Source organism: Homo sapiens, chromosome X (assembly GCF_000001405.40).
Source record: "Homo sapiens chromosome X, GRCh38.p14 Primary Assembly".
NCBI lineage: Eukaryota > Metazoa > Chordata > Mammalia > Primates > Hominidae > Homo > Homo sapiens.
Genome location: NC_000023.11, coordinates 150975736 through 150995515, shown reverse-complemented (window position 1 = coordinate 150995515; position 19780 = coordinate 150975736). Strand labels below are relative to the sequence as shown.

The following is a 19780-nucleotide window of genomic DNA, read 5'->3' as shown; positions in this document are numbered from 1 at the left end:
TGCAGTGGCTCAATCTCGGCTCACTGCAACCTCTGTCTCCCGGGTTCGAGCGATTCTCTTGCCTCAGCCTCCCGAGTAGCTGGGACTACAAGTGCACGCCACCACATCCGGCTAAGTTTTGTATTTTTAGTAGAGACGGGGTTTCACTATGTTGGCCAGGATGGTCTCGATCTCTTGACCTCATGATCCGCCTGCCTCTGCCTCCCAAAGTGCTGGGATTACAGGCATGAGCCACTGCACCCGGCCTATTTTCTTTCTGTATAGATTTACCTGTTATGGACATTTCATATAAATGGAATCATGCAATATGTAATTTTTTGTGACTGGCTTATTTAGCATAATTATTTCAAAGTTCATCTATGTTGTAACATGTATCAGTACTTCATTCCTTTTTATGGCTGAACAATATTTCTTCATATGGATATAACACATTTTATCCACTCATCACTTGATGGACATTTGGGTTGTTTCCACTTTTTGGCTATTAAGAATTATGTACATGAGCCAGGCACGGTGGCTCACAACTGTAATCCCAGCACTTTGGGAGGCCGAGGCAGGCGGATCATGAGGTCAGGAGATTGAGACCATCCTGGCTAACATGGTGAAACCCCGTCTCTACTAAAAATACAAAAAATTAGCCTGGCATGGTGGCAGGCACCTGTAGTCCCAGCTACTCGGGAGGCTGAGGCAGGAGAATGGCGTGAACCCGGGAGGCAGAGGTTGCAGTGAGCTGAGATCGCGCCACTGCACTTCAGCCTGGGCGACAGAGCGAGACTCTGTCCACAAAAAAAAAAAAAATTATGTACATGAGGCCAGACATGGTGGCTCATGCCTGTAATCCCAGCGCTTTGGGAGGTCAAGGCGGGCGGATCACCTGAGGTCAGGAGTTCAAGACCAGCCTGACCAACATGGTGAAACCCTGTCTCTACTTAAAATACAAAATTAGCCGGATGTGGTGGTGCGTGCTTGTAATCTCAGCTACTCGGGAGGCTGAGGCAGGAGATTCGCTTGAACCCGGAAGGCGGAGGTTGCGGTGAGCCAAGATCGTGCCATTACACTCCAGCCTGGGTGACAGAGAAAAAAAAAAATTATGTACATGAATATTCATGTACAAGTATTTGTTTGAATACCTGTTTTCAATTATTTTGGCTGTATACCTAGGAGTGGAACTGATGAGCCATATGGTAATTCTATGTTTAACTTATTGAGAAATCTCCAAGCTGTTTCCCATAGCGACTGCACCATTTTACATTCCCACCTGCAATGTACCAGGACTGTAATTTCTCTACGTCCTCACCAATACTAGTTATTTTCCTTTTTTATCTTTTTTTTTTTTTTTTGGCAAGCAGATAAAGGCTTGTTTTATTTTAATGGCTGATCTATGTATTCACGGAGGCCAGTATGTACAGACAAAAGGCGAGCTTTTATTTCTTGGTGTCTTCCTCCTTGAACAAAGTCTTGATGATCTCCTCCTTCTTGGCCTGGAGGCGCTCTTCACTGCGCTTCCGTGCTTCCTTGGTCTTAGGCCTGCGGGCCTCAGCCTGGTCAGCCAGGAGCTTCTTGTGAGCCTTGTCTGCCTTCAGCTTGTGGCTGTGTTCCATGAGAATCGGCTTGTTTGTGAACACATTCCCCTGCACCTTCAGGTACAGGCTGTGATACATGTGGCGATCAATCTTCTTAGATTCACAGTATCTTCTGAGCAGCAGGTGCAGAATCCTCATTCTCTTCATCCACGTGACCTTCTCTGGCATTCGGGCATTGGCTGTACCCTTTCACTTATCTATGCCTATGTGCCTGCCCTTCCAGTGGGCCAAGGTGTTTTTCTGGCATCGAGCCCGGGAATGGACCGTCACAGGCTTGCGGATGATCAGCCCATCTTTGATCAGCTTCCAGATCTGCTGATGGGAATTGGCATTGGCGATTTCATTGGTCTTATTGGGGTCCAACCACACCTTCTTCTTGCCACAGCGAAGGACACTAGAGGCGAGCCTCTTCTGAAGCCTGAGCATACTCATGGCTGTAGTCGCAGCAGCGAAAGGAAAGAGCTCCCTTTTTTATCATTATTATAACCATCCTAGTGGGTGTTAAGTAGTATCCTATTATAGTCTTGATTTAAATTTCTTGATGACTAATGATGCTGAGGATTTTTCATGTGTTTATTGGCCATTTATACATCTTCTTTGGAGAAATGTCTGTTAAGATCTTTTGCTCATTTTTTAAATTGGGTTGTCTTTTTATTGCTGAGTTGTAATAGTCCTTTATATATTTTGAATACTAGATCCCTATAGGATATACGTTGTGCAAATATTTTCCCCCATTCTGTAGGTTGTCTTTTCACTTTCCTGGTGGTACTGTTTGAAGCACAAATGTTTTGTTTGTTTTAATTTTAATGAAGTTCAACTTATCTATTGTTTTCTTTAGTTGCACATGCTTTTGGTGTCCTAAGAAACTATTGCCAAATCCAAGGTCATGAAATTCACACTTATGTTTCCTACTAAGAATTTTATAGTTGTAGCTCTTACATTTGGGTCTTTCATCTATTTTGAATTGATTTTTGAATGTGCTGTGAGGGAAGGGTCAAAATTCATTCCTTTGCACATGGATATCCAGTTGTCCCAACATCATTTGTTGAAAATTATTTCCCCCATTGAATGTTATTTTTATCCCCATTGAAAAATCAGTTGGCCACAAATGTCTGGGTTCATTTCTGGACTCACAATTGTATTGGCCTATATGTCTGTCCTTATGCTGGTACTACACCGTCTTGATTATTGTAGCTTTAAGTTTTTGGGTTTTTTGTTTGTTTTTGTTTTTTTGAGACGGAGTCTCAGTCACTCTGTTGCCCAGGTTAGAGTGCAGTGGCCACAGTCTTGGCTCACTGCAACCTCCGCCTCCTGGGTTCAAGCGATTCTCCTGCCTCAACCTCCGGCCAGAGTAGCTGAAACTACAGGCATGCACCACCATGCCTGGAATTTTTTTTTTTTTTTTGTATTTTTAGTAGAGATGGGGTTTCATCATGTTGGCCAGGCTGGTCTTGAACACTTGACCTTAAGTGACCCACCTGCCTCGGCCTCCCAAAGTGCTGGGATTACGGGCATGAGCCACTGCACCTGGCTTTGTTGTAAGTTTTCAAATCAGGCCAGGTGCAGTGGCTTACAGGTGTGCTGTAATCCCTACACTTTGGGAGGTCGAGGCAGGAGGATCGAGTCCAGGAGTTTGTGACCAGCCTGGGCAACACAGTGAGACCCTGCCTCTAAAAGAAATTAAATTAGCCAGGTGCGGTGGTGCTACTTGTAGTCCCAGTTACCTGGGAGGATGAGGTGGAAGGATGCCTTGAGCCTGGGAGGTTGAAGCTGCAATGAGCTGTGATTGTGCCACTGCACAATAGCCTGGACAACAGAGCAAGACTCTGTCTCAAAAAAAAAAAAAAAGTTTTAATAAAGTAGTTTTGAAATCAAGAAATGTGAATCCTCCAACTGTTTTCAAGATTGATCTGGGTATCTCCTGCATCTCTTGAATTTCTATATGACATTTAGAATCAGCCTGATTTCTACTAGAGGAAGCCAGCTGGGATTCTAATAGAGATTGCGTTCTAGATCAATTTCAGGAGTATTGCCATCTTAACAATATTAAACCTTCCCATTCATGAACGTGGAATGTCTATTTCCTTAGGTCTTTAATGTTTTGTACTTTTCCCCATGTAAGTTTTGCACTTATATTGTTCATTCCTAAATATTTTATTCTTTTTGATGTTATTGTAGATATTTAAGAGAATGTTTTCTTAGTTTCAGATTGTTCATGGCTGGTATATAGAAATACTAGTTTTTGTATGTTAATCTTGTATACTGCAGATGATCAATTCATTTTTCTAGCAGTTTTATTTGGAGATTCCTTACGGTTATCTGTATACAAGGTCATATCATCTACAAATAGACATAGCTTTGTCTTCTCAATTTCAGTCTGGATGTTTTCTTTTTCTTTTGCCTAATTGCCCTGGCTAGAACTTCTAGTACAATCATGAATAAACCCATGGGTTTTCCTAAACGTCCTATATCAGGTTGAGGAAGTTCCCTTCTACCCTTGTTTTTATCATGAAAGTGTTTGTCAAGGTTTTTGTGTCTATTGAGATGATCATGTGTGTCTTTTTCCTTTTATTGATATGGTATCCCAGCTTCTTTTGAAAGCTGAAATCGTAGGATGCCCAACATATAAAACAGGGTGGGAGGCTGCTCTGGTTGAAGCAGTAAGGGAAGCTTGGGGCCGCCAAGCTGGCTCAATGGCCTTTCCTTACCAGGTAGCCTTGGGCTCCACAGAAAACTGAGCTGGGAGCCAAGAACAGCAAGCGGTCCCTGTGGCTCTCCTCCAGAACTCCTTGTTGGGCATGGCTGAGTCAGCCAACTAAGCCCAGACCCTTGGCCTCGAGGAGCCCTGTGGGCAGGGCTGGCTGATTACAAGTACCCAACCACTTTATCAAATAGTAGCTCGTTAGCATCCTGCAAATTGCCTATTTATCCTGGTCCAGGGCTTCAGAGCCAACTCCCCCTTATGCCTCGGGCCAGGAGGTTGATCTTGGGGCTTTGGAGTCCTTAACACTTAAGTCATTTTGATGGTATCATTCCACTAAATGTTAGTAGTTCAGATCTATGGTTACCACAAAGTTTGCACTTCTAAAACCTTGATGATAATCAACCAAAAGTACAGAGGTTCAGTATCTCAGACAGATCGCAGACAGCCCACTGATTACTTTTTGGGAAGAGTGATTAAGAAACTTTATTACAGAAAATGAATGCATCCAACGTCCCCAAATACATTTGTGACAAGAACAGACACACACAGGAGACACAGACAATAGTCACTACATCACAGCCTTGTTCTTTCCGAAGGATAAAATGTCATTCAAGAATGGGGTGAGGTGGTTAGAGGGAGTAGGTACTATCCTTTTAAATGGGGGAAAAAAAAAAAAAAAGCAACAGGTTGGCATCTTAAGAACACAGACAGTGGGCCCAGAAATCAAGCTAAGCCTAAGCCTTAGGTAACATCATGCCACTTACATCATCTCAGAGAAACTAGGGCATTATTCCACTAGAAGAGCAATCTTGCCACAGTGTGAAAACGTTGAGTAGTGATCTTGCTGCCCCAGCTAATGGACCAAGTGGCCTCAACTTGACAGCCTCTTTAAAACTCAATGTTTGCCTAATCAAAGATCATCTGGCTAAACTGCTCCCCCACTTCTGCTTAGCTACTTTGGAAGCACAAAAGTTACCCCTTTCCATCCTTGGCCCTTCCCTGGTTGGTACATCTAGTTATGAGATAGACGCGCACCACTTAACAAATCACTCCCTTTTGACCGCAGGTTGTTTCTCTTCCATATTTGACGAGGCTGGCAACAGCTCCCGAATCTTGGCCTAGCACATCACGAATTGGGAAGCTAAAGCTTTAGCTTAGAATGCCAAGTGACAAGGACATGGCTGAAGCAGGAGGGGAAATTCTGGAACAAGTGCCTCTGGGCAAACCTCACAACCGAGTTTTTTAAATTAGTGGTCATTTTCTAGAACTAGAGGAACACATTCAGGACAAACAGTTCTGATGGGAGAGCGAATGGCTATGAACACATAAGAGATCAGGCTGTGACCGTGACCATAACTCGTACTCATCCAGGACCCGACAGGGCGGAGAGGACACCGCCTCCAGACATGCAAGTTTCTCAACAGTGAATTTTAAGAAAAAGCTGCTTTCTCTTAAAATTAATAGCACAAAAACACTCCTGCGTGTTTCATAGCCTCAAACATACACACCCAAATATTAATGCTGGGCAATAGCAACACTCACCCACAACACAGTACTGTATCCTTCATTGCTACGGACAGTAATGATGTATATACACATCAGCCTTCAAAATGGTATTTAGTGTCACCACTTGCTACTGTGGCCATCTCCCCTCACCCCAACCTGGATAAAATGTTACACTACCCACTAATATAACCACTGACACACAAACCAAGCTCCTTCCAGTTTAACATTGAACATCAATCTACATTTCCAGTGAATGAGCTAAACTTATGAGCAGGCCATTCAACTTTTCATGATACATTTAGTGCTCAGAAATGGTTGATTCCATTAGCCTGCCCTATAGCTCAGGTGGCCCAAGATGGAGCCTATCATCTTCCTTGGGGTGTTTGGTGTTTCCAAGTAGGAGCAAAAAAAGGATACCGTCCCCTACCCCACCACCCCATCCCACATACCCTCACTGGCATCCAGGAGACCAGCAGCAGGCTCAAGACCCCAAATGTTGGGCACCACAAATAATGTGATATGTGCCAGGAGCACGGGGGGTAGGGGTGAAAGAGAAAAACAATAAGGCCTTAATTTTTGACACACCATACACTCTGAAATTGCTGTTTAGCAATGCATTTGGCCCCACAAAATAGGGGGTGGAGGTGGGACAAAAGTTAAACCTAGATAGCCTCAGTCCTAATCACCCACCTTCCTATACCTTGGAAGGCTGCTGAACCTTGCCTATGTCGTTCTCCTAACTCCTCCAGACTTCATCTGAATGCCACTCAGACACAAACAAAATCACACAGTAGCTTCAAGTAGCCCTCTCCTTCATCTCAGCCCTAAGTGAGCTGGCCACTGAGTAATAAAAGAAGCTACCACATTTATAGGGAGGCCAGTCTCCAAATACAATGGAGTGGGGGTTTGTTCACTGCTGTGAGTCAGAAATTGACTGTTATAATAGAGAAGAGTTTTAAAAATGTAATACTGTTTATTTAACTTCAAAAACATTTCAGCATTCTAAACATACAAAAAAAATAACAGAACGTTGCGAATCGTGTTTAAGTACAGGAGGTTCTTGAACTTTCATTGATGCAGTGACTCTTTGCTTTGCTGACAATGAAGAGTTCTATAGTTTGTTTAAAAACAAACAGTTTAAAAACTACCGCACTTAAAAAAAAAAAATATTCTCATGCCAGCTGACCCCCCTTTGTCCACAGCTAAGATGGCAGCAGAATGCTATGTCACTATATACAGAAACAAGACAACCTGAAGCTAAATGGATGCCCCCTGCAGAGTCAACAGGTCCAGCCTCACAGTGCACGCCCTGAGCTACAGCCTCTCCCAAAAGGCATCTTCCCCACAGCCTCAACGCCGAGCAAGGAGCATCAAGGGTTTGTCTCGGTTGTTTTGTTCTTTTTACAAACTATAGATATATACAGTTGAAAACTCAGGATTTCTAGCCAATAACCATAGTTACCACCACCTTACAAATAAAAAGAAAATGCCAGAAACATCTTTAAATGCCTTGTCACACCAACAGCAAAGTGCACAGAGTGAGGAGAACACGAGAGTGCCTTTTCATTTTAAAAATGTTTGGAAATATGTACAACTTTGATACAGTTTCAGGGTGCTCCAGACACCCATGGCCACTTCATGTAAACCACTGACAATTTCTAGAGCACTTTGAGAGACTACAATATGATCGTGATCAAATTTTGTAATTAAACCTAATGAGGGCAACAGACACTTCTCAAATAAGAGATGTGTCAATTACGGCGCTCCCCTACTCTAAGTATTCACAAGGAGACAGATAAACAGTTTCTTTATTCATCCTCCTCCTCCTCCTCCTCCTCTTCTTCCTCCTCCTCTTCTTCATCTTCCTCTTCCACCTTTTTCCGGGCAACTTTAGCAGGACCCTTTGCACCATCAAACTTTCCTTTCGACTTATAGTCAGCAACATCCTAGAGGAACAGGGACACATTTCAAATGAGTATGCGGCTGTTTTAACACAAAGTAGAAACATGCAGTCCTCATCTCAGGTAAGAGGACAGGAATTGAAATCAAGTAAGACAGTGCTGCTATCATATATATCTGAAGTGTTTCCATATATGAATTTGGTTCTTAGCCATTCGAATTTAAAAGTTAGTGGGTGTTCAAGTGTCCTTCAAGTCACATTAGTAGGACTATCAAATCCTCTGTTAACATTTTTTTTTCCTTAAAGAGTAAGGAAAATTTTTCAAGCCTGAAGTTGTCCCCAAAACAAAGACCTGTCAAAAAAAAGCATGAACACCAGCACCCGTAGCTACCTTGCAGGGGGATGGGCCCTTGAGCGCTATGCTAAGTACTCAGCCCAGCAAAGCTGCCACATGCCCTGCAACCTACTGATAGCAGAACCACTGCCTGTTCACCAGTCCAGGCTTCCAGCCCCACCTTACCTTCTCATACTTCTCCTTCAGCTTTGCCGCCTTAGTGATGTAAGGCTGCTTTTCACTGTCATTTAAATTATTCCACATCTCACCCAGCTTTTTTGCCACGTCTCCAATAGAGATGCCGGGGTTTGTGGATTTGATCTTGGGGCGGAATTCTGAACAGAACAGGAAGAATCCAGACCTTGGAAGAATTACATACATTACATGAGAAACCACAAAAAATTTGAGTTAAAGTTGAAATCCCACATTCCTGAGAAGCATCTCCCTCCTACCACTATGACTTCTCCCTAAAGTGAAGTAATCTATGATACCATATACAATGCTACAAAGTTGTAGGTTCTAAAATATATAAGGTTAGAAAAATATGTGGTGCGCGGCTCACGCCTGTAATTCCAGCACTTTGGGAGGCCGAGGCAGGCGGATCACCTGAGGTTGGGAGTTTCAGACCAGCCTGACCAACATGGAGAAACCCCGTCTCTACTAAAAATATAAAAAAAATTAGCCGGGCATGGTGGTGCATGTCTGTAATCCCAGCTACTCAGGAGGCTGAGGCAGGAGAATCACTTGAACCCAGGAGGTGGAGGTTGCAGTGAGCCAAGATCACACCTTGCACTCCAGCCTGGTCAAGAGCGAAACTCCATCTCAAATATGTATGCGTGTGTGTGTGTATGCATATATAAAATATATGCGTATATATACGCGCATATATATATGGTGCTCTGTGTGTGTGTATGCATATATAATACATATGCGTATATATACGCGCATATATATATGGTGCTGTCCCAGTCTTTCAATTACTAGGAAAGGCATAAAGAACATACTTCAAGGACCCTGACAACCAAAACTAGAGTGCCTCCTTCACAATGGAAAGGCCAACAGACAACCACTGTGAATGTGCAAGCACAGCCCACAAACACTTCAGCCTTAACCACAGACAACGCTGGCACTGCATCGTAAAGCCCAAGTACAGAATGGTTTGCAGAGGTATTGCCATCTTTTAAGTATCTTTTAAAAAATATTTCATTTTGAAATGAAATACAGGACGACCAAAAAACCAAATCCTCCAAGCAGAAGAAAAGGTATTAATTGTTATCTTGAATCCTATAGTCACTTACGGTGGCCTTTTGGGAGCATTAGGATCCTTCTTCTTCTTGCCTCCCTTAGCTGGTCCATAATCCTTCATTTCCCGATCATAGCGCACTTTATCTGCCTTTGCCATTTCATCAAATTTAGATTTCTCTTTCCCGGACATCGTCTGCAAAGAACAGGACTCGTTAAATCCCTCGATGCAGTGAACACATACCTATTCAGTTTCTTGTGATTAAACTAGCAGTTGCTAGAACCACTTGCAAAAGGGGGTAGGTAAAGGCCTGAAACCTGTGCAGGGCCTTAAAAAAATAAAAGCACACACACAAAATTCTTAAGACAAGCAAAAATGATTCTAAGTAAAAGTAAAAGAGGAAGCAAGCAGCTATCTGGGAGAAAATCTGAAGGTAAGTAACCCCAAAGTAAGAAACCCAACTAAGACTAGTTTGAAGGGTACCAAAGAAAAATACCTTCCACCTCTCAGAGCACTTCTTGGAAAATTCCGCAAAATTGACAGGGACCTCTGGGTTTTTCTTCTTATGTTCTTCTCTGCATGTCTGCACAAAGAAGGCATAAGCGGACATCTTGCCCTTTGGTTTCTTGGGGTCACCTTTAGCCATCCTGACTGTGATAAAAGAGAAACAAAGAAATACAATGAGGAAAAGCAAGGAGGAATTGACAAGAAGTACAAGACGTACCAAAGGCAGAGCAAAACTAAAACTACACTTGCTGTTAGGAAGTCCCCTTCCCCCAATGCCGGACACCAGTGGCAGAAGGCAGAGTAGGAAAGAAATCAGCTTCATTGTCGCTTGTCATTTAACTTTTGACCAGCACGAAGCGCGCTGGTTTGCGAGTTACTTCTCAAAAGCGATCAAGTGCTCCAAATGGAGCCGACCCAAGTAGGGTACTCAGTGTTACGTTTACAGAACTGCTATGTTTTGGAAACTACAATCACAAAGTGGGAAGGGTAGAGAGAGGACACATTTGGTGGGGGTGATAGAAGCTTGAAATCTATGACTTAAGACTATCTGGTCATCTGCTAACTGTTAACACAATTAAAAACAACAACTCTTACCACTGCTGAACACAAGACCAAAGCAGGAGAACTATACGTAGGGGACATCTGAAATTGTCACTATTGTTGATGTGTTTTGGCTTACTAAAAAAACGGCTTTACAACACGGGAGATCTGGAAAGTGAGCAGGTACCCCCGTACTATTAGTTCAATTCATCACTTCGTCACTATCTAAAGGGGGAGGGTGTATAAAAAGGGCTAGTCGTGCTCATCTGTAACCCAGAATGCAGGTCCAGCCGAGAACACTTTCTCCAAAGTTTCCAAATAAAAATGCAGCTGCGGCATGTCATCGTCCCTGTCCCACCCCCCAGCTTCCCGCCATCTTTTCCTTTTCCCACACCCAAGGTCATCATGTAAAACTAAAGAGCTCCCCTTGGCAGCAGCCGCCCAGGAGGCTGCCCAACAGAGACCCGCAGCGGCGGCCCGGGCGGGGCGGGACCGGGAGCGGGGGAGTCCCGGCCGGCAGCAGGCAGCCCGCCTCGGCCCCCGTGCCGGGTCACCGGGACACCCGTAATTCACCTTCCATTTTGTCAAAAGCCTCCTGATGAAAGAAAGTGCCCCTGAAATCCGCCGCTGTCATCCCCGGGGGACGCGCGGGGCCGGGGGCGGCGGCGGTGGCGGTGCGCGGGGGGTGTGCGGCCGGGCCGGCGGCAGCCGCGGCACTGGTGGCGGCGTCCGCCGCGCCTCGGAGTCCCACTCGCTAAAATGGCTGATCCGCGCGCGGCCGGCGCGGGCGGCGGCGACAGCGGCGAACAAAGCGGCCCGGGCCCCGCCGCCGCCGCCCGCCCGTCGGCCCCCACCCCGCCCCGCCCCGCCCCGCCCGGGCCGCCCGGGGGCTCGGGGGCCCGGGCCGGACCTCCCCGCCCCCCGGCGCGGGGCGCACTCCTCGGGATAACAAAGGCGCCCGTGCAGCCATGACGCTCGGCCGCTCCAGGGCCCGCAGCGGCGCCCCCGGCCCTCCGAGCCGCCCGCCCCGGGCCGCGGGCGCCGGGGCCGAGGCCGGAGCCCGCCGGGCGCCCCGCCGACCGCTCCGCCCGCCTCCCCTGCCCTCGCCGGAGGCCAGCGCCGCGCCAGCCATGTTAGCGGCGGCGGCGGCGCCGGGCGGGCGGGAGGCGAGAGGGGGGCGGCCGGCCCGCGCCCCCCCGGGCCACCGGGCGCTCCGCGACGGCCATGTTAACGCAGAGCCAGCGGCGTAGCCTGCGGGCCCGCGCGGCGCCGGGCCAAGCCCGGGAGCGAAGTTTGCCCGTGCGGCGGCCCCCGGCGGGCACCAGCCGCGCAGCCCCCGGCGGGCACCGGCCGCCCGTTCCCCAGCGGAGTCCGTCGCGGGCCGGGGAACTCCCGGCCCCCTTCCCGCTGCCGCCGCCCAGCGCCCACAGCCCGCAGCCGCCCCTCTGCTCGCCCAGCCGCCGCAGCCGCAGCTGCCCAAACATCTGGCCTCGGGGGCCCTGGGTTCCCGGCTGCGGCCCCTGGGGCCGCCACGGGCGGGCGTCCGCCGAGGGGGCCGACCCCCGAAAGCGGGGAGCTCGGGGAACGCGTTGGAAAAGTTGAAACACCTGAATTGCTTCTTCCTTCCCGGCCGCCTAGCAGGAGGGAAGGCGGAGGGGGCGGGAAGGGAATGGGGAGTAGAGGCAGGGGGAGGCGGCGGCAGGGCGCGCTCACGGCGGCGCGGGCCGGAAAGTTGTGCGGGCGCTGCGGCGGCGGCGGCGGCGGCGGCGGCGGCGGCGGCGGCGGCGGCGGCGGCGGCGGGAGCGGGCGGTGCGAGACGTACCTGTATTGTTCGCTAGTCTGGGCAGCGCAGGGCACGACGCGCGGCTCAGCGCTCCCCAGCCTCGCGCTAGCTGCCTCCACGAGAGCCGCCTGATTGGCCAGCGGGCTCTGCCGTTTAAAACAGCCTCCTCGCCTGGCCATTGGCTGCGGGCCTCATGCATATTAAGCAGGCGTGGACGCCCATTGGGCGCGGCTGCTGGGATCATTCATTCAAACAGAACGACCCGCCGGCGCCGGCTACGGAGGCCAAACAGGGAAAGACCTAGTCTCGCCTGCCCGCCCCGCCCACCTCGCCAGCCCCCTCGGGGAACAGAACTGGGATCGCCAAGGGCTTTGAAGAGGTGGCCCTGCGATTCCCGGAGGCCTCGGCCTCTGGCGTGGGAAGATGAAGTCCAGCCCCGCTGCGCTGCCCTCTGCTCCCACCGCACCGCGGCCTTGGCGCCCCTGGCCTGCAGTCAGCTCCCCTGCCCGGGGAAACACCCCTGGGCCCACCACGAAGGGCCGATGGTAGACCACCTCTACCCGGTTCGGCCGCGGCGCCGCGACAGAAACGCGGCGGCAGCTCGCTCCTCGATGCCTGGCGGAGGGCAGCTGCTTGCTCGCCAAGACCTCGGGATTTAGTCCTCGGATCTCGCTGCCTATCCGAAAGCCACCTGATTCCGCTTCTGCGGATCGTGCTCAACTAGGCTCTTTCCACTAAATGCCAGAAGGTCTTTATTTGCGCCCGAAATTGCGGAACCGACGGGCTAAAAGAGGAAAACAAAATTTGGCAAGAGCAGAGAATTTGTGAGAAATTGTAGTTTTGTGGGCAAAGAATAACACTTTTCTTCTTACCCTCTTCACTGTCTCGGTTCAAGGCCCTCATTCCCTCTGCTCTCCTGACACACCCTAGAGCAAAGAATTAAAGCTTCGGGAATGAATGAGTGAATGAATGAATGAATGGGATTTGACTTGATCTCCACTTTGCCATTGGCTGGTGGTATGGCCTTGAGCTAGTCACTTCTTTGGGGATTCAGGCAATGTTTTTCAAAGTATAGGAGCCGCAGTGTCACTTCTGTAAGGGATGTTCTGAAATTCGTGGGGCCGGTGCCTGGATGACTGGCAGGTGTTGCTGGAATTCAATAAGAGGAAGGAACGGCCGGGGATACTAAATATCCTACATTGCATAGGACAGTCCCACGCAAGGAAGAAATACTCCACTTCAAATGCAAGTATCAGCCCTATTTGGAAAGAAAGTATCTGAGGGCCCTTGCCTGGAAAGAATGAAAGGGTGAGAAAAAGAGCAGTTTAAAGATTGACAGTTGGAGAAAATAATGCAAAGGAAGAGATGTCATGAGTTTGGTTTTTCTTTTCTTTGAAAGGCCAAGAGATCCAGCTATTTATGAGTCCTATATTCAGAAATAAGCCCCACCAGAACATGAATTTTCCAAATGCTGCTTCCAGAAACCGTGGCTGAGTTTGAGGTGTGCAAAGGATCTGGCTTCACAGGGCACCTGCTTCTTCACCCCTACGCCCCCTCTTACCAACTCCTCTGAGCCTCCCAGCCAAGCCTGAGCCCCTGAAGCTGGTGCTGTTGGCTCCCATCATCAAGGTTCCAATCCAGATCAAAAGGCAAAGATAGAGGCCAAGCGCGGTGGCTCATGCCTGTAATTCCAGTACTTTGGGAGGCTGAGGCAGGCGGATCACGAGATCAGGAGTTCAAGACCAGCCTGGCCAATCTGATGAAGCCCCGTCTCTACTAAAAATACAAAAAAATTAGCCAGGTGTGGTGATGCATGCCTGTAGGAGGCTGAGGCAGGAGAATCGCTTTAACCTGGGAGGTGGAGGTTGCAGTGAGCCAAGATCATGCTACTGCACTCCAGCCTGGGCAACAGAGCAAGACTCCGAAAAAAAAAAAAAAAAGGCAGAGATAGTGCTGCTTTTGACAAGAGCAGGCAGGTATTGTGTCACTAACCCAGGTCCCCACTACAGACTCAGGAGTTCAGAGATCTTAAGGCCACCTCATCCATCCCTCTGTCCTGTTAGAACCAGCTTAGTGGTTGCCTGCCTTCTGCTTGCATACCTCCACTCATAGGGAGCTTACCATCTTCCTTCATGGCAGTTCCTTCCATCTCCAGCCACCTCTGAGCCTTAAGGTCAACATCTCCACACAGGGTAATCCCTCACCCTTCAGATAGTTCATGGCAGGCCAGGCCTTTTCTCCAGACAGACAGCCCCTCCCTGCTCCTTCTACAAGCAGTTTCCCAGGGCCTGACCTGCCCAAGCCACTCCCTCTTCCCCTGTCTCCACAAGGCCTAGAGGGGAGCAGGGTTTCCACAAGTGATCTGACCAATACCTCGCCTCTGCCAGAGCACCCTAGCCTCTCAAGGTTGCCAGGCCTTTCTAGACCAGAGATTCAAGTTGGGGTCCAGCTACTGCCCAGCAACTGCCCACAGTGGCAAGTGACACGGCACAGTTGGCAGGCACCTTGGTGGGGGAACCAGGGTGGTGGGCCCTTGGATGGATGACAAGGGTCACACAAGCCCATGCCAACTCACAAGCAGCACATGTATACACGTACTCACGTATGGGCACACCCAGGGCATTCCCAGAGGCAGCAGCTTCAAGGGCAAACCAGAGAAATAAGAGCATCTCCCAACCCAAACTGGCCCCCAGTTGCCACCCTCAAGATCCATGCTTCCCTGCCCCACTGCCCCAACCCTGCCCATTGACCATCTATTTCTCCCCACATACTTCGAATGATGAAAGGATTGCGCTTACGCGCAGGAAGTATTTCCATCCTTTGCATAGGAAATATTTCGATCTCTGCTCTCAAGAAAGCTACCTCTTATATGGAGCTGAAGCACTTGGCCTGAAGCTGAACTACAAACTGGTCATCGTCAGAACATGAACTCACAGAACATGACTATGACATCACTGAGTGACAGAGATCCAAAGATGGCTCCCTGCTCCTCCCCATCCCCCCAGCCACCCACCTACCAATGGAGGCTCCTCACAGCCAGATTTTCTCCTTAACACCTGCCCGTGTGCGGCGACATGCCTGAGCAAGGCCTGTGGCCCAGTGGGCTCCTGCCTTAGCAGAAACTTTCATGTATATGTATTGCATGTCTACTAATCAGTAACAGAAGGGAGATGAGATGGAGTGGGGAGTAAGGCTGGAAGGAAGGGACAAGATAGAGGCTTTGGGCTCTGTCACTGATTTCCTGGTATGCCTTTTCACATGTCACCTGAGGGCTCCGAGCCTCAGTGTCCTCTATCAAAGGTGATTCCACCCGCCTCATCCACCCAGACCACTGCCAGTCTTGGTGGTGAGGGAGACTGAGTGAAGACGGTCTGCTTGTCACCAGTCAAAGGCCAACCAGGAGAGGCCTAAAGACTAGTTTGGAAGGTGAAAAAAAGAAAGAAAAGGTGACAGAAAGCCAGGGATGCCTGGGCACACCCTAGACTCAGGGAGCCCAAGGCAGGCTGCCTTCTCTGCAGCAAAGCTCAATGCCCGTTAGCTTGAGGATACCTCCAGCAGCAGCACCCAGGTCAGCGTGCAAGGGCTTGAGGGAATGAAGGATACTCTAGGCCTCTGCCCGGGCCCTACCTGGAAACAGGCAAAGCCCATCCACACAGGAGAACCTCAAACCAGAATCCCTTAAGCTGCTTGGCTGCCTAGAGAAGTTACGAAAACATTAAATAAGAAATGGGATGAAGTGTGGCAAATGCTATTTAAAGAGGTTTTCAGTTCCTGTCAGTTCAAGGCCCCTAAAAGACTAAGGGGAATCCTCATCGTTCAACAAAAATGAAACCCTGGTCCCCTGGCCCACTGCCTACACACTCCACCCACCCTCCCACAGTTCCCAAAGTCTTCATTTGAGTACCTTGGGCCAACCCAGCCTCCTTTTAAGAATCATGCCTGGCCGGGTGCGGTGGCTCACGCCTGTAATCCCAGCACTTTGGGAGGCCATGGTGGGCAGATCACCTGAGGTCAGGAGTTCAAGACCAGCCTGGCCAACAAGGTGAAATCCCATCTCTACTAAAAATACAAAAATTAGCCTGGTGTGGTGGCACCTGCCTGTAATCCCAGCTACTCAGGAGGCTCAGGGGGGAGAATCGCTTGAACCTGAGAGGCTGAGGTTGCAGTGAGCAGAGATGGCGCCACTGCACTCCAGCCTGGGTGACAGTGTGAGACTCCGTCTCAAAAAAAAGAAAAAGAAAAAAAAAAAGAATCATGCCTGTAGGCCAAATGTGGTGGCTCACGCCTGTAATCTCAGCACTTGGGGAGGCCAAGGTGGGTGGATCACCTGAGGTCAGGAGTTCGAGACCAGCCTGGCCAACATGGCGAAACCCCATCTCTACTAAAAATACAAAAATTAGCTGGGCGTGGTGATGGGCACCTGTAATCCCGGCTACTCAGGAGGCTGAGGCAGAGAATTGCTTGAACCCAGGATGCACAGGTTGCAGTGAGCCAAGATCGTACCACTGAACTCCAGCTTGGGTGACAGAGTGAGACTCTGTCTCAGGGGAAAAAAAAAAAAAAAAAAAAAGGAATCACGCCTGTAAACCCAGCACTTTGGGAGGCCAAGGCAGGAGGATCACCTGAGGCTAGGAGTTTGAGACCAGCCTGGGCAACATAGTGAGACCCCCATCTAAAAAAATCAATGGAAGTGTAGACAGAGTGGATTTGGGGGGTAGGGGTGGAATGGGATTGTTGAACAAAATATATTAAGGGAAGCCAGGTGTAGTGGCACCCACTTGTAGTCCCAGCTACTTGAGAGGCTGAGAGGCTGAAGTGGGAAGACTGGTTGAGCCCAGGAGCTCGAGACCAGCCTGGGCAACAAGGTGAGATCTCATCTCAAATATATATATATATATGAACCAGATGCAGTGGCTTACATCTGTAATCCCAGCAGTTTGGGAGGCTGAAGCGGGAGGATCACTTGAGGCAAGGAGTTCCAGACCAGCCTGGTCAATATAGCGAGACCTTGTCTCAAAACAAAGAAATAGGCTGGACGAGGTGGCTCATGCCTGTAATCTCAGCACTTTGGGAGGCCGAGGTGGGGAGGCTGAAGCACGAGAATTGCTTGAACCCGGGAGGCAGAGGTTGCAGTGAGCCGAGATCGTGCCACTGCACTCCAACCTGGAGTGAGACCCTGTATCCAAAAACAAACAAGCAAAACAAAACAACAACAGCAACAACAAAGCCAAAAAAATAAAATAAAATCTTATATATAAGTATTAAGGGAACTTGCTGTGAAGACCCTACAATGAAACAAGATCTTTCAATATGGCACCTAGGAACCTTTGTAAATATGGAGTCCTTATAAGTGCAGATCTTCAGGGATAGGGAGTCTTGACTGGCTTCCAGGCCTTCTCAGGGCCCCTGCCGCACACCGCTTAGCCTCCTGTGAACTACTTCACCACGAGGTGCCTCCCCTCACCCCTCCCTGTTACCAGCCCCGGGTCCCCTCCCCTCACCGTCTGCTCTTTGGTGGGAATTGCATTCCAACTCTACTTGTTTTTCCCATAGAGGGGAAAACCTTCTCAGAGGTGGTTCTCTATTAGAATGGATCTGCAGAGCTGCACCACTGGGAAGACTCTTCCAGGCCCTCCAACCCAGCCTCCTCGTGGCACAGAGGGCCCAACGCCTGGAGATTTGCTGAAGTCCCCACATGGGTCAGTGGCTGAGCCAGGGCGGGAACTCTGGTCTCTTGGCCTTTACTAGGTGCCACACTTGGTAGCTCTCGATAGCTTAGCTCCACTGTGGGTGCCGCGGCCTTTGGTGAGCTGGCGAGAGCAGCCAGCACCCTTGAGAAGAGGTTTTCTGGTTCCAAACAGAAGCCGAGAGAGACCCGCGGGGAACCCGGTGGCTGAAGCTGGCCTCCACCACCTCTCCTGCCCACATCGCACAGTTCAGGCCGCGGGTACCTAGAGCCTCGACGGCGCCTCGGGCCCCAAGCGACGTGGGTGTCTGCATTTTCTTTCTTTCTTTCTTTCTTTCTTTCTTTCTTTCTTTCTTTCTTTCTTTCTTTCTTTCTTTCTTTCTTTCTTTCCTTCCTTCCTTCCTTCCTTCCTTCCTTCCTTCTTTCTTTCTTTCTTTCTCTCTTTCTTTCTTTCCTTCTCTCTGTCTCTCTCTTTCTTTCTCTCTCTCTTTCTTTCTTTCTTTCCTTCTCTCTGTCTCTCTCTTTCTTTCTTTTTTGAGACGGAGTCTCGCTCTGTCACCCAGGCTGGAGTGCAGTGGCCCAATCTCGGCTCACTGCAAGCTCCCCCTCCCGGGTTCACGCCATTCTCCTGCCTCAGCCTCCCGACTAGCTGAGACTACAGAAGCCGGCCACCACGCCTGGCTAATTTTTTGTATTTTTATTAGAGACGGGGTTTCGCCGTGTTAGCCAGGATGGTCTCAATCTCCTGACCTCGTGATCCGCCCGCCTCGGCCTCCCAAAGTGCTGGGATTACCGACGTGAGCCACCGCGACCGGCCTCTTTCTTTCTTTCTTTGAGACGGAGTTTCGCTTCTGTCGTCTAAGCTGGAGTTCAAGGGCGCTATCTTGGCTCACTGCAGCCTCTGCCTCCTGGGTTCAAGCGATTCTCCAGCCTCAGCCTCCCGAGTAGATGGGATTACAGGCGCCCGCCACCACGGCCCGCTAATTTTTTTTTTTTTTTTGAGACGGAGTCTTGCTCTGTCGCCCAGGCTGGAGTGCAGTGGTGCGATCTCGGCTCACTGCAACCTCCGCCTCCTGAATTCAAGCAATTCTCCTGCCTCAGCCTCCCGGGTAGCCACCGCGCCCGGCTAATTTTTGTATTTTTAGTAGAGACGGGGTTTCACCATGTTGGCCAGGCTGGTCTTGAACTCCTGGCCTCGTGATCTGCCCGCCTTGGCCTCTCAAAGTGCTGGGATTACAGGCTTGAGCCACCGCGCCCGGCCTAATTTTTGTATTTTTAGTAGAGACGGAGTTTCACCATGTTGGCCAGGCTGGTCTCGAACTCCTGACCTCAGGTGATCCACCCACCTCGGCCTCCTAAAGTGTTGGGATTACAGACGTGAGCCACGGCGCCCGACCGGGACCGGGACCGGGCGTCTGCATTTCACCAGATGGCTGCGCCCGTTGCCCCTCCCGAATTCCCTCACCCCCTCCCCACCAGACCCCGGAGGCTGCCGGGGACGGTGGGAAAGGAGCCACCGGGGCGGCTCCCTCCCACAGCACTGCTCTTGCCCAGGGCTGGGACAAGGAAGAGAAAGGAGCGCAGAAGCCAGGGCTGTTCAGCACGACACAGGCCTCTTCAGCAGCACCAGCGCCACCGCGTCCCTGCTCTGGGTTCCTTTCATATTGAATGAAAAGCGGGAAGTGGGTCAGTGACCAAAGGATTTCCTACTTTTTACTCTCCACGCCGGCGCCTTGTGGGAATACAATCCTAATCTACAAAAGCCCATCAAGGGCCAGTGACGTGCCAGGCCGGCCGGGTCCTGTGGGGAAGATGGAGATGAAACTGAAGGGCCCTTGACCTTCTAGGCACCGGTCTCCTTCAGAGGAGGGGAAGGGAGCAGAAGAGAGGGGACTCTCCAATGGGATAGCTCCCACCAGCCACCACATTACCGAACAGCCCTGCCTTGTCCCGCCTTGAAGTCTTCACCATGCTGCTGGGTTACCCATTCTAGA

At 49.9% G+C, this 19780-nt stretch overlaps 1 protein-coding gene and 1 pseudogene across 6 annotated transcripts, besides 2 other annotated features; both read right to left on the bottom strand.

The window, feature by feature from the left end:
- RPL19P21 (ribosomal protein L19 pseudogene 21) lies at window positions 1341-2051 on the bottom strand (annotated as a pseudogene).
- HMGB3 (high mobility group box 3) lies at window positions 4745-15009 on the bottom strand. 6 transcript variants are annotated; one of them, NM_001440774.1, is made up of 6 exons: window positions 11925-12181; window positions 10372-10485; window positions 9767-9921; window positions 9326-9465; window positions 8214-8388; window positions 4745-7739 (listed from the first exon to the last, which is right to left on the bottom strand). In NM_001440774.1, exons 3-6 carry the CDS (start codon window positions 9914-9916, stop codon window positions 7602-7604), a joined length of 603 nt encoding a protein of 200 aa, NP_001427703.1. In that variant the 5' UTR covers window positions 9917-9921; window positions 10372-10485; window positions 11925-12181; the 3' UTR covers window positions 4745-7601. The 6 variants fall into 6 exon arrangements, with proteins under 6 accessions (NP_001427703.1, NP_001288160.1, NP_001288157.1 ...); NM_001301231.2 differs by lacking the exons at window positions 10372-10485; window positions 11925-12181 and adding an exon at window positions 14872-15009; NM_001301228.2 differs by lacking the exon at window positions 10372-10485.
- Window positions 12151-12350: a silencer, noted in NCBI's record as "silent region_21055". NCBI's record gives its function as "represses an Ori minimal core promoter by ATAC-STARR-seq in GM12878 lymphoblastoid cells {active_cell/tissue: GM12878}" and the evidence as "EXISTENCE:reporter gene assay evidence [ECO:0000049][PMID:35858748]".
- Window positions 12472-13167: an enhancer, noted in NCBI's record as "H3K27ac hESC enhancer chrX:150150822-150151517 (GRCh37/hg19 assembly coordinates)". NCBI's record gives its function as "activates a minimal SCP1, AML or CMV promoter by ChIP-STARR-seq in primed H9 embryonic stem cells {active_cell/tissue: H9 hESC(primed)}" and the evidence as "EXISTENCE:reporter gene assay evidence [ECO:0000049][PMID:30033119]".